The sequence below is a fragment of the Homo sapiens genome, chromosome 6 (assembly GCF_000001405.40).
Source record: "Homo sapiens chromosome 6, GRCh38.p14 Primary Assembly".
Classification (NCBI taxonomy): domain Eukaryota; kingdom Metazoa; phylum Chordata; class Mammalia; order Primates; family Hominidae; genus Homo; species Homo sapiens.
This window is the reverse complement of record NC_000006.12, coordinates 13,513,310-13,527,169: the sequence shown is the minus strand read 5'-3', so window position 1 is coordinate 13,527,169 and position 13,860 is coordinate 13,513,310. Positions and strand designations below refer to the sequence as shown.

The 13,860-nt window shown below is 44.2% G+C and overlaps 1 pseudogene, besides 2 other annotated features; it reads right to left on the bottom strand.

Moving 5' to 3' along the window:
* Positions 236 to 355: an enhancer, noted in NCBI's record as "active region_24036". NCBI's record gives its function as "activates an Ori minimal core promoter by ATAC-STARR-seq in GM12878 lymphoblastoid cells {active_cell/tissue: GM12878}" and the evidence as "EXISTENCE:reporter gene assay evidence [ECO:0000049][PMID:35858748]".
* RPS4XP7 (ribosomal protein S4X pseudogene 7) lies at positions 5,054 to 5,957 on the bottom strand (annotated as a pseudogene).
* Positions 12,935 to 13,004: an enhancer, noted in NCBI's record as "active region_24035". NCBI's record gives its function as "activates an Ori minimal core promoter by ATAC-STARR-seq in GM12878 lymphoblastoid cells {active_cell/tissue: GM12878}" and the evidence as "EXISTENCE:reporter gene assay evidence [ECO:0000049][PMID:35858748]".

Sequence of the window (13,860 nt, the reverse complement as noted above, 5' to 3'; positions counted from 1 at the left end):
CTGGCGGGGATGGAAGGGAGGAAGGCCGCCCTGGCAGTGGCTTTGTCCCACAGCTCCTGGGAAGCAGTCCCTCTCCCAGCTCTGGCGGTCACTGGGCTGCGGTACCATATTCTGTCCCTTTGCCCCTGCAGTGCTAGGGGGGTAACCACTCCCAGCGTTTGTTTTCTCTGGTGCCACACCGCCCCTGGTGCCACACCGCCCCTGGTAGAGTCAGTCCTTTCATCCTGCCTGCACTTCCGTAAATAGTCCCCTCATTACATTTTTTTTTTTTTTTTCAGTTAAGCAATTTGGAGTGTGCCATCTGTTTCCTGCCCGGCTCTGGCTGATACTGTGACTAACCTTTTCACTGAGGCTTAAAATAAGTTGGTGATGCCTGTTTACACGGATTTAGTAGCCAACACCTGCAGCTTGCTGTTTTAGGTCTGAGCTTGCAAATGAGCCCCTCTTGCCAGGGTCTTAACTGTTGACTCTGTACTTTCCAAATTTTCTATAGGGGTGCTTATTATTTTGTTTCCTAGCCTGAGTTTGCGGTTTGCAGTGAAGTAGGACTAGCAAAAATTTAGGAAGCTATAGGATAGAGTGGTATGGCTGCATGACCTCAGCAATTGCTTAACCTCCTTGTGCCTCAGTTTTCCTCATCCCTAAGATGGGCATCATAATAGCACAACCTTATCTTATAGGGTTTTCCTGAGGGTTAACTAAATTTAAGTGTGTAAAGTACATAGCATAGGGCATGGCACATAGTAAATGCTCAAAACAGGTAGTTCTTATTATTATTTTATTGGAGGAAGGGTTTTACTCAGAATTATATGATAAGGTTAGAATCCCAGCTCTGCCATTGAGTAGATGGGTGACCTTGGAACTATTACTTAAACTCTTAAACTCTTCGAGTCTAAACATCTACATGGGATTAGTAATGCTTGTCTCACTTAGTGGTTGTCAGACCAAAATGTGATCATGTGTAGGAAAGGTCTTTGTAAATATTTGTTTTGTTTTGAGACAGGGTCTCACTCCAACGCCCAGGCTGGAGTGCAGTAGCACGATCTCAGCTTACTGGGTTCAAGTGATTCTCTTGCCTCAGCCTCCCGAGTAGCTAGGATTACAGGCATCCGCCACCACGCCTGGCTAATTTTTGTACTTTTAGTAGAGACGGGGTTTCACCATGTTGGACAGGCTGGTGTTGAACCCCTGTCCTCAAGTGATCTGCCTGCCTCAGCCTCCCAAAGTGCTGGAATTATAGGTGTGAGCCACCATGCCTAGCTGGTCTTTGTAAATTCTAAACCACAAATATGAAGTACAAACTGAAGATCATCTGATCTACACATTGTAGAAGATTCCTTTTTGTCCTGCATGGGTCTTTGCTCTGGTTCATAAGTTAGGAGGGTTTCCTAAAGGAAAAATGGGTGTTTGTTTCTCGTCTAATCATTATGGGGAATGTAGTTTTATCCGGGGAAGAGAAGAGAAAAGGCAGTGTGGTGATTTTGGAGGGAATTTGTCATGGTGATGCAGGAGGAGTGAGCATGTGTCAGGGAGGTATAATTTATTTTTCAGCTTTCTGGAAGCATGATGCTCTTCAGAAGCCTGAGGCCAGCACTCCCTGGCTAGGAGGCAGGCATGTCTAGAAACCTGGGTGACAAGGAAGGATAAGGCAGGGGAAGACCTGTGTTAAAACTTGCGCCATGTTGGCCAGGCTGGTTTTGAACTCCTGACCTCAAATGATCCACCCACCTCAGCCTCCCAAAGTGTTGGGGTTAGAGACGTGAGCCACCACATTAGCCGGGCATGGTGGTGGGCACCTGTAATCCCAGCTACTCAGGAGGCTGAGGCAGGAGAATCGCTCGTGCCCAGGAGGTGGAGGTTGCAGTGAGCAGAGATTGCGCCACTGCACTCCAGCCTGGGCAACAGAGCAAGACTCCGTCTCAAAAAAAAAGAAAAGAAAAACTTTAGACAAGGTGAATTTAATAGAGTTTAATTAAGCAAAGAGTGATTTGCAAATCGGGCAGCCTCCGAAATCAGAAAAGGTTTAGAGAAACTGGCAATTCCGCATGGTTGGAGAGGATTTAGGGACAGAAAAATGAAAGGGACAGTGACTACTGAAACAGCCAGATTGGTTACCGCCTGGCTTCTGCCTTATTTGCACATGGTGTGAACAGCTGGCTGCTTGTTGTGATTGGCTGAGACTCCACTACTTGTTCCTAGAGTAATTTACAATCTGTTTATACCTCTAGTTGGGTTACAGTTCACTGTGTATGGAGACACCTTTAAGCTGAATGTAAACTATGTAAGGAGGCAACTTCAGGCTAAACTGGAATATTCAGCCATGAGAAAAGAGACAGTGCAACTGGGCTGGAATGGACGGAGAGTTGAGGGGCTACAGAGACCACCACTGCTTATCTGAAGGGCCCAGCCTGGGAGTGCGACACTAGACTGCATGGGCACCTAAGGCTGTCCCAGGATGTTTGTGTTTACATTTCCTCTTAAGTGGGCCTCCCTCTACAGGAGCCAGTATATGGGATGCTGCTTAAATAGATCGTGCTCCCCACTCCCAAAAGTGGTCCTTGTCCACATCTCCGGCTGTTTTTGGTACAGAGGTGCAGAAAAAAGTTTGCTGTTACAGTTTCCGGTTCTGGGCTCCAACCACCCACATATAATTTGCTCTGTTCTTCTTGCCCTAGGTGATTTCTGGAAAATCCTGCTGGCTCAGCTCCTCTGTGATCTTGCTGACTTTCCACAGCATGGCCTGAGGCCCATAGCACGCTCAGAGCCCGCAGTCCTCCCTGAGCCTGGCCAGCTAGCGGCAGGGCCTTGTGGCCTGATGCAAATGCTACCACTACCCAAAGGCCATTTATGAGACTCTCCAAGCAGCTGCCTCTAAAGGCCATCCTACCAGCATTTAAATGACCCTCATACAAGTTTTCTTCATCTCGGGGCTCTCCTACCAGCTCCTGCTGCCTTTTTTTTTTTTTTTCTGGCAAACATATTCTTCTGTGACTTTCTCTTGATTGACATGGGGTGATGGGATGTTTCTATGCTCCTATTTGGGTATTTTTAGAAGCTGACTGACTGACCTGCTCCTCCTTCCTAGAATGGTTTAGTTTTTTGTGTCACTTGGTAGAGACACTGCAGGGCACTGTGTGGCATCTGCCTGGTCTGTTTGTCAAACACCGGCTCAGGGTCGCAGCTGTCAAGTCTGGAGGGCCCAGAGCACAGGCAGCCTTTTCCTGCAGCCCAGATGAGTTGACATGGGACCTGGGCTCTCGCCGGGCTCAGCCCACACCTCTCAGAACAGAAGGCAGTTGGAGGAGTGGAATAGCGGACTGAAATGTTAAATCAGGGAGCCCAGAGGTTCTCTACCAAAAAATTCACGCACCCTGATTCCCACTTCCACTTAGAAACAATTCTGCTTAGTCCCGTCTTTCAAGCCCACTGAGCACCACCTATGAATTATCAGGGGCACCAGGCAGATGAGCGACTCTTTCTGTCCACTTCAACATGCTCTCTGACCCAGCCCTGGCTGGAGTGAAATTTTTAAATGATTTTTTCATTTGCATATTTCCATATGGACTATGAGATTCCTGAAAATGCCTATGCTTAAAATAATGAAAATAAATAATTAAAAATAATTAAAATGCTTCAACCTTCAAGAGTGCATTTATTATTAGATAAAAAGGCTTCCATTATTCTCAAGGAAAAAAAAATCAAAGATCCAAAATAACAACTTTGGTTCTGGTCGTTTTATATACAGATAGATAGATAGATGATAGATAGATATAGATAGATAGATTTTTTTTGTTTGTTTCGTTTTGTTTTTTTAGATGGAGATTCACTCTTGTTGCCCAGGCTGGAGTGCAATGGCACAATCTCGGCTCACTGCAACCTCTGCCTCCCAGGTTCAAGTGATTCTCCTGCCTCAGCCTCCCAAGTAGCTGGGATTACAGGCATGTGCCACCATGCCTGGCTAATTTTTTTGTATTTTTAGTAGAGACGGGATTTCACCATGTTGGTCAGGCTAGTCTCGAACTCCTGACCTCCTACCTCAGGTGATCCACCCTCCTCGGCCTCCTAAAGTGTTGGGATTACAGGCATGAGCCACCGTGCCTGGCCCAATATATTTTTCTCTTTTGTTACAGGATGCATATGACAATGTGGTACACTATCAAGGTCTTTGGAAGGCAAATCTCAAAACAGGGTTTCAGTTGCAGAAAACTGAATGGCACACTCTGCCGTAGGAAGGGAATTTTTTTTTTTTTTTACAGTGTTCTTCCCACTATGTGATTTGATGATCATTGCAATGAACCGTATGTCCTTGAGTCATATCCTAATGCGAAATTGCTTGCTGACTAGGAAAAAGGAAGCTACGAATCAGAGCTGTACAAAAGTATTTTAAAATTTTTATCATGAAAACATTAATCTTCCAAGGATACTTGGAAGAGGATGTATGAATTCTTCCTGTCATTGTTGGGTTGGAACATGATGGTCTCATGAATATTTATTTTAAGTGGTTTATGATAGAAAATTTCAGATGATAATGTAATGAAACTCCACCAATCTGTTGACCAATTTTAACAATTATCAACATTCTGCCAATCACGTTTCATCTATCCTCCTTGTTTCGGGGTGTGTGTGTGTGTGTGTGTGTGTGTGTGTGTGTTTTCCAGTATTTTAAAGCAAATCCCAGCATATATAAATGCTTTTAAATGCTTTGATACGTATCTCTAACAGACAGGGCCTCAAAAAAAAAAAAAAAGACCCATGCACAATTATACCTAACAAAATTAACAGTAACTTATAATATCATCCAACACAGATCACGGTCAATTTGTTACATTTGTTCAAAAAGTCTTTTTATCAATTGGTGTGCTTTAATTGGGGTTTAACAAGAGCTATACATTGTGTATGGTCGAAATACTTCTTGAGTATTTCTCCCTTCCACTCCTTCTTGCATTAAAAAGATTTTTTACTATAATGAAAAATTTCAAACATATACAAATGTAGAGAGAATAGTGAAGTAGAGCCCCAAGTGCCCATAACCCAGTTTCAATTGTTTTTTTTTCTATTAATCATGCCACATTATTTTTAATTACGTACAAAGATCTGACATGTCACGCAGGGACCATTTCACCCAGTGCTCTGTTTGGCCACCAGTCTCTTGTCTCTCTCTTCAGCAATGGTGAGGCGGATACCCTTTCCTCAGGGAAGAGAAATCCATGGTTTGTTGCCCTTGCCAATAACAAAAATGTTGGAAAGTTGAGTGGCAAAGCTGTGGCCATTGGCATCTTTCATGTGAAACACGTCAAAAGATCCAGGGTGCCTCTCTCTGTTGGTGATCACACCAATTCTTCACAGGTTAGCACCTTCAGTCACCATACACAGGTTACCAGTGTAACTTGATGAAATCAAGTAATCTTGCCAGTCTCCAAATCAATACGAATGGTATCATTCACCTTGATGAGGGGATCAGGGTAGCAGATGGTGTGAGCATCATGAGTCACCACATGAGGGATTCCTTTTGTGCCCACAAAGATTTTTCTCACTTTGCACAACTTGTACTTGGCTTCCTCAGGTGTAATACAATGTACAGCAAAGTGACCCTTGGTGTCATAGATCAGACAAAAATTCTCTCCCATCTTGTCAATGCTGATGACATCCATGAATCCAGCAGGGTAGGTTTTGTCAGTTCGGACCTTGCCATCGATCTTAATGAACTGCTGCATGCAACTCTTCTTCATCTCCTGTCAGGACATACTTAAGTCTGTTCCTTAGGAAAGTGATGAGGGGGAGACACTCTCTCAACTTGTGGGGACTGGTGGATGGACGAAGAGCAAACACACTGGTCAATTTATCCAGCATCCAATGCTTTGGAGCTGCTACCTGCTTTAGATGCTTCTTGGGACCATAAGCCATGGCTGTGTTAGGCAAGGAAAGGTGGCCTTAGTCTTCTGGTGCACATAGAAATTCATTGTTTTTTTTTGTTTTGTTTTGTTTTGTTTTTTTGAGACAGGTTCTCATTCTGTTGCCCAGGCTAGAGTGCAGTGGTGCAATCACAGCTCACTGCAGCCTTGACTTCCCAGGGCTCAAGCAATCCTCCCAGCTCAGCCTCCCAAGTAGCTGGGACTACAGGTGTGAGCCACCATGCCCAGCTAATTTTTTATATATATATTTTTTAGAGATTGGATATCACTTTGTTGACCAGGCTGGTCTCGAACTCCTGGGCTCAAGTGATCCTCCCACCTCGGCCTCCCAAAGTGATAGGATTAGAGATGTAAGCCACAGTGCCTGGCCTTCAATAGTTATTGATAGATGGATGATCTAGTTTCATCTATATCTCCTTTCCAACCTCTACTCCTACCGCTAATATGTCATTTTAAAACAAATCCCAGGCTTTATATAATTTCAAAGGTAAATACTTCTGTATGTATCTCTAAGAGATAAGGAATTTTAAGAAAGCAACCACATCTTTGTTAGATCTACAAAAAATTAATGATTCCTTACTATCATCTAGTATCCAATAGGTGATGTTACCATTTCCCTGATGAGGCTAGGTGTAGTGGCTCACACCTGTAATACCAGCACTTTGGGAGGCTAAGGCAGGAGAATCACTTGAGCCCAAGAGTTTTAGACTAGCCTTGGCAACACAGGGAGAACGCCTTTCTACAAAGAAAAAAAAAAAAGAAATTAGCCAGGACTGATGGTGTGTACCTATAATTCCAGCAACTTGGGAGGGTGAGGTAGGAGGATCACTTGAGCCCAGGAGTTTGAGACTGCTGTGAGCCATGATTACACCACTACCCTCCAGCCTGGGTGACAGATGAGAGCCTATCTCAAACAACAACAACAACAAAGACAATTTCCCTGATTGTCCCATAAATGTCTTTTTACAGTTGGTTTCTTACAAGTGGGATTCAAACAAGGTCCATACATGGCATATGGCTGATACATGCTATGGACTGAATTGTGTCCCCGCTAAATTCATATGTTGAAGTCCTAACCTCTAACATGACTATATTTGGAGATAGGGCTTTTAGAAGGCAATTAAGGTCAAAATGAGGTCATAAGGGTCTTAATCCCATAGGATTGGTGGCCTTATAAGAGGAAGAGAGAGAGATCTTGCTCTGTCCACGAGCATGCGCTGAGGAAAGGCCATGTGAGCACACATGAGAAGGCAGCCGTCTATAAGCCAGAAGGAGAGCCCTCACCTGAACCCAACCCTGCTGTCACATTGAGCTCAGACTTCTAGTCTCCAGAACTGTGAGAAATAAATTGTTGTTGTTTAAGCCACCCAGTCTGTTGTATTTTATTATGGCAGCCAAACCAATACAATATGCTTCTTAAGTCTTTTACATTCCCCCACTATCACGCCCTTTTTATGCCATTCATTCATCAGAGAAACTGGGTCACTTGTCCTACAGAAATTCCCACATTCCAGATTTCACTGGTTGTATTCTCCTGGTGTCATTTAACTTGTTTCTCTATCCCTGTATTTCTTATGAACAGATAGATAGACCTTGGTTTGATTTAGGTTCATTTTGGTAAGACTTAAAGGTGGTTTGGTATTCATTCTGATTGTAACATATCAGGAAAAATATGATGTCTGATTTTTCTACCTTTACAGGTTTAAGCTGATGGGTTAGTGCTAGGTGTTCTCAGCCTGATCCATCCATAATAAAGATCCTCATCAACCTATTATCTAATGGTTTTTGCAGCCATTGCAGTTCATTGCCAGAATCCATTAATTCAATAAGGACTTGAAAATGATAATTTTCTAGTTCTGTCATTTCTTTTTCTTAGCTGTGATCCTTCTATAAAGAAGAAATTTCTCATATCAACTACTCAGTTATACTGAAATACAGTTTATACAGAAAAAGGCAGGATAAAATCCTTTCCTTTTATTTATCAGCCTGTCAGCAGTTGGTGCCCTTACAATCTCCATAGGTGACCATGGATTTGTTTTTAAATTATCATTATGTGAACTATTGGATTTTTAGATACTTGATGGTTTCACTCTATTATCTTTTTCCATAAAACTGACTCAACTATGGCCAGAGAGAACCCCTTCAAGTTAGCCTCTGCATTCTTTTGCCATCATCCCAGGATTCTTTCACAGTGCCTTTGCTTTGGGGCACAATAAGATGTTCTAGCCTTATATCGAAAAACTCCTGTCCCAGATCATGACTCAGATGTTTTCCCAAGGGTCCCTGGTGTCTTTTTAGTAAGAAGTAGTATTTAGAAATCATATCTGGTGCTAGAGTTGCTCATTGCTGCTGAATTGTCATTGCTTCTAGGTCTGATGGACAGTGCTGAGGATTGCAAATGTCTTCCATCACCAGTGAAACTGTAAATAGCTCTTTGAAACTTAGTAAATTGCTCAAAAAAAAATTTTTTTTTTTTTGAGACGGAGTCTCACCCTGTTGCCCAGGCTGGAGTGCAGTCGCACAATCTCGGCTCACTGCAAGCTCTGCCTCCCGGATTCACGCCATTCTCCTGCCTCAGCTTCCCAAGTGGCTGGGACTACAGGCGCCCACCACCACTTCCGGCTAATTTTTTGTATTTTTAGTGGAAATGGGGTTTCACCATGTTAGCCAGGATGGTCTTGATCTCCTGACCTCGTGATCCGGCCCTCTCGGCCTCCCAAAGTGCTGGGATTACAGGCATGAGCCACCGCACCGGGCCGACTTTTCTTTTTTTATTCAGGGTCTTACTCTGTTGCTCAGGCTGAGTGCAGTGCTGCAATCATGGCACACTGCAGCCTTGAACTCCGGAGCTCAAGTGATCCTCTTGCCTCAGCCTCCCGAGGTAGCTGGGATACAGGAGTGTGCCACCATGCTTGGCTAATTCTTTATTTTTTGTAGAGATAGGTTCTCGATGTGTTGCCGAGGCTGGCCTCAAACTCCTGGACTCAAGTAATCCTCCTGCCTCTGCCTCCCAAAGTGCTAGGATTACAGGCATGAGCCACAGTGCCCAATCAAAGACTTCTTAAGCGTTTTTTCATTTTACTAAGAGAAGAGGGCCAGTCATGGTGGCTCACACCTGCAATCCCAGAACTTTGGGAGGCCAAGGTGGGCGGATCACCTGAGGTCAGGAGTTCGAGACCAGTCTGACCAACATGGAAAAACCCCATTTCTACTAAAAATACAAAATTAGCTGGGTGGAGGTGCATGCCTGTAATCCCAGCTACTCAGGAGGCTGAGGCAAGAGAATTGCTTGAACCCGGGAGGCGGAGGTTGCAGTGAGCTGAGATTGCGCCATTGCGCTCCGACCTGGGCAACAAGAGTGAAACTCCATCTAATAAAATAAAAAAAAAGAAAGAAAAAAAAAGAGAGAGAGAAGAAATAAAGAAATAATAATTGAGAAAACTGAGCACTGCTAGAAAATAAGTACTAAAAGAAAATCAAAGTATCAACTTGGACAGATAAATGTTGGATACAAATGATGGCACAAATATTAAATATATATTTTGCTGAACATTGTGTTTTTCATGTTATTTTACTCTTTCTAATAATAGTGGTTTATTCAATATATAACAAAATATTAATTATTTATACTTGTTAGAAAAGGCCCAATAATGACAGTTAAATGCATGAATGACACTCATAAATCAGGCTAAATTTGTTTGTCAAGCCGTGTGTTCTGATTTGGGGTTCAGACATATGCTTACCTCTAGTGGAGAATGGTACATCAAAATGACCATAGCTGGATTATTTGACCAGTAGCCCTTGTTCCAATTCTTTACTCACACATTAACCTTTTGATCATCATTTGCATTCCCCTACAGATTGCTTCATAGGGAAAGGAATGCATTCACCAACAGACCTGAATATTTCAATCTGCTAGGCAGTCGTATTTCCTGTGTCAAAACTATACATAGGCATTTTGATTTATACATCTGTTTTCTGTGACTTTGGTCAGTGTGAGTCAATCCTCTGAATCTAACTGATCAGATGAACTGGAAAAACTGGATTTTTGGACGTTCTCAAATCAAACTCTGGACTGACAACCCCACCAAGATTCCACCGTCCTGGGGAAGTCCTGTCTATGAAGGCAGCCTGCCTCTCTTTTTAAGGTAGTACATTATTTTGGTCCTTTTAGGAGAGGGTGCTGTCACCATTTAGAACAATGGATGGAGCATTAGCTTTGTTTTCTGTTTCCAACATGTTGACTAACTGTGTGTGCTGTGGCCCTGCATTCGGTTCTGCCTCAGTCTTTGCACGCTTTGGCCTGGAGCCATCCACGGCCACCTACAACATACACTCTAACACAGCCACCTCCCGGTCACTCTCCAGGTCTTGACTCAATTACCCCTTCTTGGGGAAAACTTCCCCTACCCTCAGACTAGGCAATGTTCCACGTTCTCATGGCATGCTATGCCTTTCCTTCCCACCACCTGTCACAGTTCATAATTAAACATTTATTTGTGTGATAATTAGATTAGGGTTGAGAGATAGGGACCCCCTCTGTTGTGTGCACCTTTTATCTTCTGTGCCTATCATAGAACCTAGGATGACCGTAGGTGCCCATTACCCATGTGAGTACCTGAATGAATGACTGACGTCTGCCCAAGTGAGGCCAGTGACTGTGGCACACTGGGAAACCAGCTCATGGGGGCCCACATAAGGGGCAAATTCAGCCTCACCCAGATTCTCTTTTCCTCTCCTGTAGCTCAGCACCCCTTAAGCCTGGGCTAGAAGTTCATTAGCATCCTCAGACCCACCAGCTGGCTTATCCATGGGGTGTAATCCTTCATCCTAGTTAGTCCTGTGCTGAGGTTGGGATCGAGTGTGTTCTTGGGGTATCATGCTCATTACTCTTACCTCTGCCATGTTGGCCCCTGGTTTCTGATAGAGTTCCCACCTTAAATCCAGTGTTCTTCTGTGACAGACACCCTGCCCCAAATGTCAACCCACTCGATGCTCTGCTCAGCATCCTCTCTCCTGTCCCTCCAGGGGATTCCTCCACTATCATGTGACTTGGGCTTTAGTCTGTCCCTTATTTATTGTGTGATCTTGAACATACTGCATTGGCTCTTGAGCCTTCATTTCCTTAATTAGAATACTGTATAGGGCTTATCTAAGCGTGCCACTCCACTACCATGCCCTGGCGCTTGAGGAACTAACTAGATAATACAGCAGCACTTCTTCACTGAAGGTAACAAAAGAGTGCCTGGCCAGTCCATATTTGGGGAAAGCATCTCTAAAGAGGGCACCTTGGAGGTGAGAGCTGAAGGACAAACAGGAGGTACTTTAAAAGGTGTGAGGTGGCTATGATGACAACTTAATCCATTTCAACAAGTATTTAATGGAGCAATGTCTGTTTCTGGAATTGGGTTATTAGCCAATTTGGAGAAAACAAAAAGGCACATTATACTCCTGGGCTTCCTGCTGCTGACAACTGAGCTCTAGAGACCACATATACACACAGCCCCGTGGTTCTCAGCCACGGGGGGTTCTGCCCCACATAGGAGGAAAATTTGGAGACATTTTTGGTGGCAGGGGTGGCATGCCACTGGCGCCTGGGGGTAGAGGCCAAGGATGCTGTTAAACATCCTGCGATCTGCAGGACAGCCCTCCATGACAAATGTGAAGCGTTGAGGCTGAGAAACCCTGACACAGCCAAAGCAATGAGCCCAAACCACAGTACTGAACATCAAGGGCCCAAATCAGGGCTGCAGACATTTCCACTCTTAAAAATTTTTACTCATTTTCAAAATTTGTCTCAAATACTCTCTCACCCTTGAAGCCATCCCCAGTGCCCCTAGTCAGCCTTCCTAGGGCCCGTTGTTTAAGAGCACGGGGCTCGAAGGCAGACACAGCTGGGTTCACATCCCAGCTGCACAACTGATTAGCTGGGTGGCTTTGGGTGAGTCTCCTCACCTCTAGAAGCCTCTGCTTTCTCATCCATAAAACACAGGTAATAGAACTGGTAATACCACAGTGGTACTACTACACAGTGTTCGAGTGGTGATCACATGTAAATCACAGCATCTGACGTCCAGTGTGCATCCAAGAAAGGGGAGAATTCTTTCCTTTGTATTCCCACAGGGGCTTTGCCTGTAAGCTGCTGAGGTGACTTGGCTAATTTCACCGTGTACCAGGTATTGCTCCAGTGCTTAACATATTTTAATCCATTTAATTTTTATAACAACTGTGTGTTCCCCTCCAAATTCATATATTGAAGCCCTACTCCCAATATGATAGTATTTGGAAATGAGGTCTTTGGGAGGTCATTAGGTTTACATTAGGTCATGAGAGTGGAGCCCCCATCATAGGATTAAGAAGACAAAGAGACACTAGAACATTCTCTCTCCTCTGTGAAGATTTGGCAAAAAGGTGGCCATCCTCAGACCAGGAAGAGAGCCCTCACCAGACATCAAATCTGCCAGCACCTTGATCTTGGTCTTTCAGTCTCCAGAACCGTGAGAAATAAACGTTTGTTAAAGCACCCAGTCTATGGTATTTTTTTCATAGCAACATGGACTAAGACAACAGCCTCATGAAATGGGAAGCATTTTTCTATGCTTTTTACAAATATAGAAACGGAGGGCAGGAGAGATCGCATGGTCCCTAACGTTCAGCTAAGAGAGATGCAGGATTATAGGTATGGCTCTTCCTTTTGTTCTTTCAGGAGCCTTTTCTAGCATGTGCTATTTATCAAGGACTTTAAGGATTGGGATATAAAATCAAAGGAGACGCTTCCAATTTTCACCATCTAGTCAGAGAGTCATGCAAATCAATGATTACAGGATTTTATGACAATTCAAAGATACAGTCACACAGGGAGCTGCGGGGGTAAGAGAAGGGAGAGTTAGGTCATAGGGCCACGGGATGGGTACAAAACAAAACCCGACTTTCAATCTCTGTTTTAGCCTTCTGTGAACCACTCGACCTCTCCAAATTTCGGTTTCCTCCTCTGAAGAAAGCGCACAGCACTTACTGGCACCTGGTAAAGATTAAATTGAATTGTATATGTGGAAGGGACTCCCTAAAACGCCAGTGAGCGCCCTGGGGCCTTGTGTAGCCGGGAAGGCTTCTTGAAAGACGTGGTGTGTTTGGTTTGGAGAGAACAAGTTGCTCTAGGATGTGAGGACAGCACCTGGGTAGAGGGTTGTGGTTCACCAGAATCCAATTGCTAGAGTAGTCCTGAGTTGAAGTTGCCTCTATGAATGGACATGGTCTAATGTGGCCTCTTCACTGACCCACTCTGCATAGCGAATCGCTCTCTGCCTACTTCCCTTTGCCCAGCAGCTGTGGTGAGCCCAAAGGCCTCTCCTTAGCTAATGAGGAAAGAAATACACCACTAGATGTGAAAGAAAAGAGGGGGGAGTGGCTAGGCAGTGGCTCATGCCTGTAGTCATAACTCAGAAGCCCGAGTTGAGTGGATCACTTGAGGTCAGGAGTTCAAGACCAGCTTAGCTAACATGGTCAAACCCCATCTCTACCACAGATACAAAAGCCAGCCAGTTGTGGTGACACATGCCTCTAAACCCAGCTACTTACTGAGGCAGATAATTGCTTAAACTAAGAAGAGAACAGCAGCACGCCCAGATCGTGTCTGGAATTAGCAGGTTCTCGGTCCTGTCGACTTAAAGAATGAAGCCACAGACCCTCATGGTGAGAGTTACAGTTCTAAACGATGGTGTGCCTAGACTTTTTCCTTTCTGGTAAGTTCATGTAATCACTTAACTACAAATCTCCACGGTGGTACAACCCTTGAAAGTGTCACGTGTGAAGTTTATTTTTCCCAGGGGGTTTGTAGTCTGTTCTAGCCTCCATGAGTGAAGCTACAGACCTCCACAGTGATTGCTTCAACTCGAAAATGGACGTACCCTAAATTGTTGACGCCCACCTGCCCAAAGTTTTTTCTCTC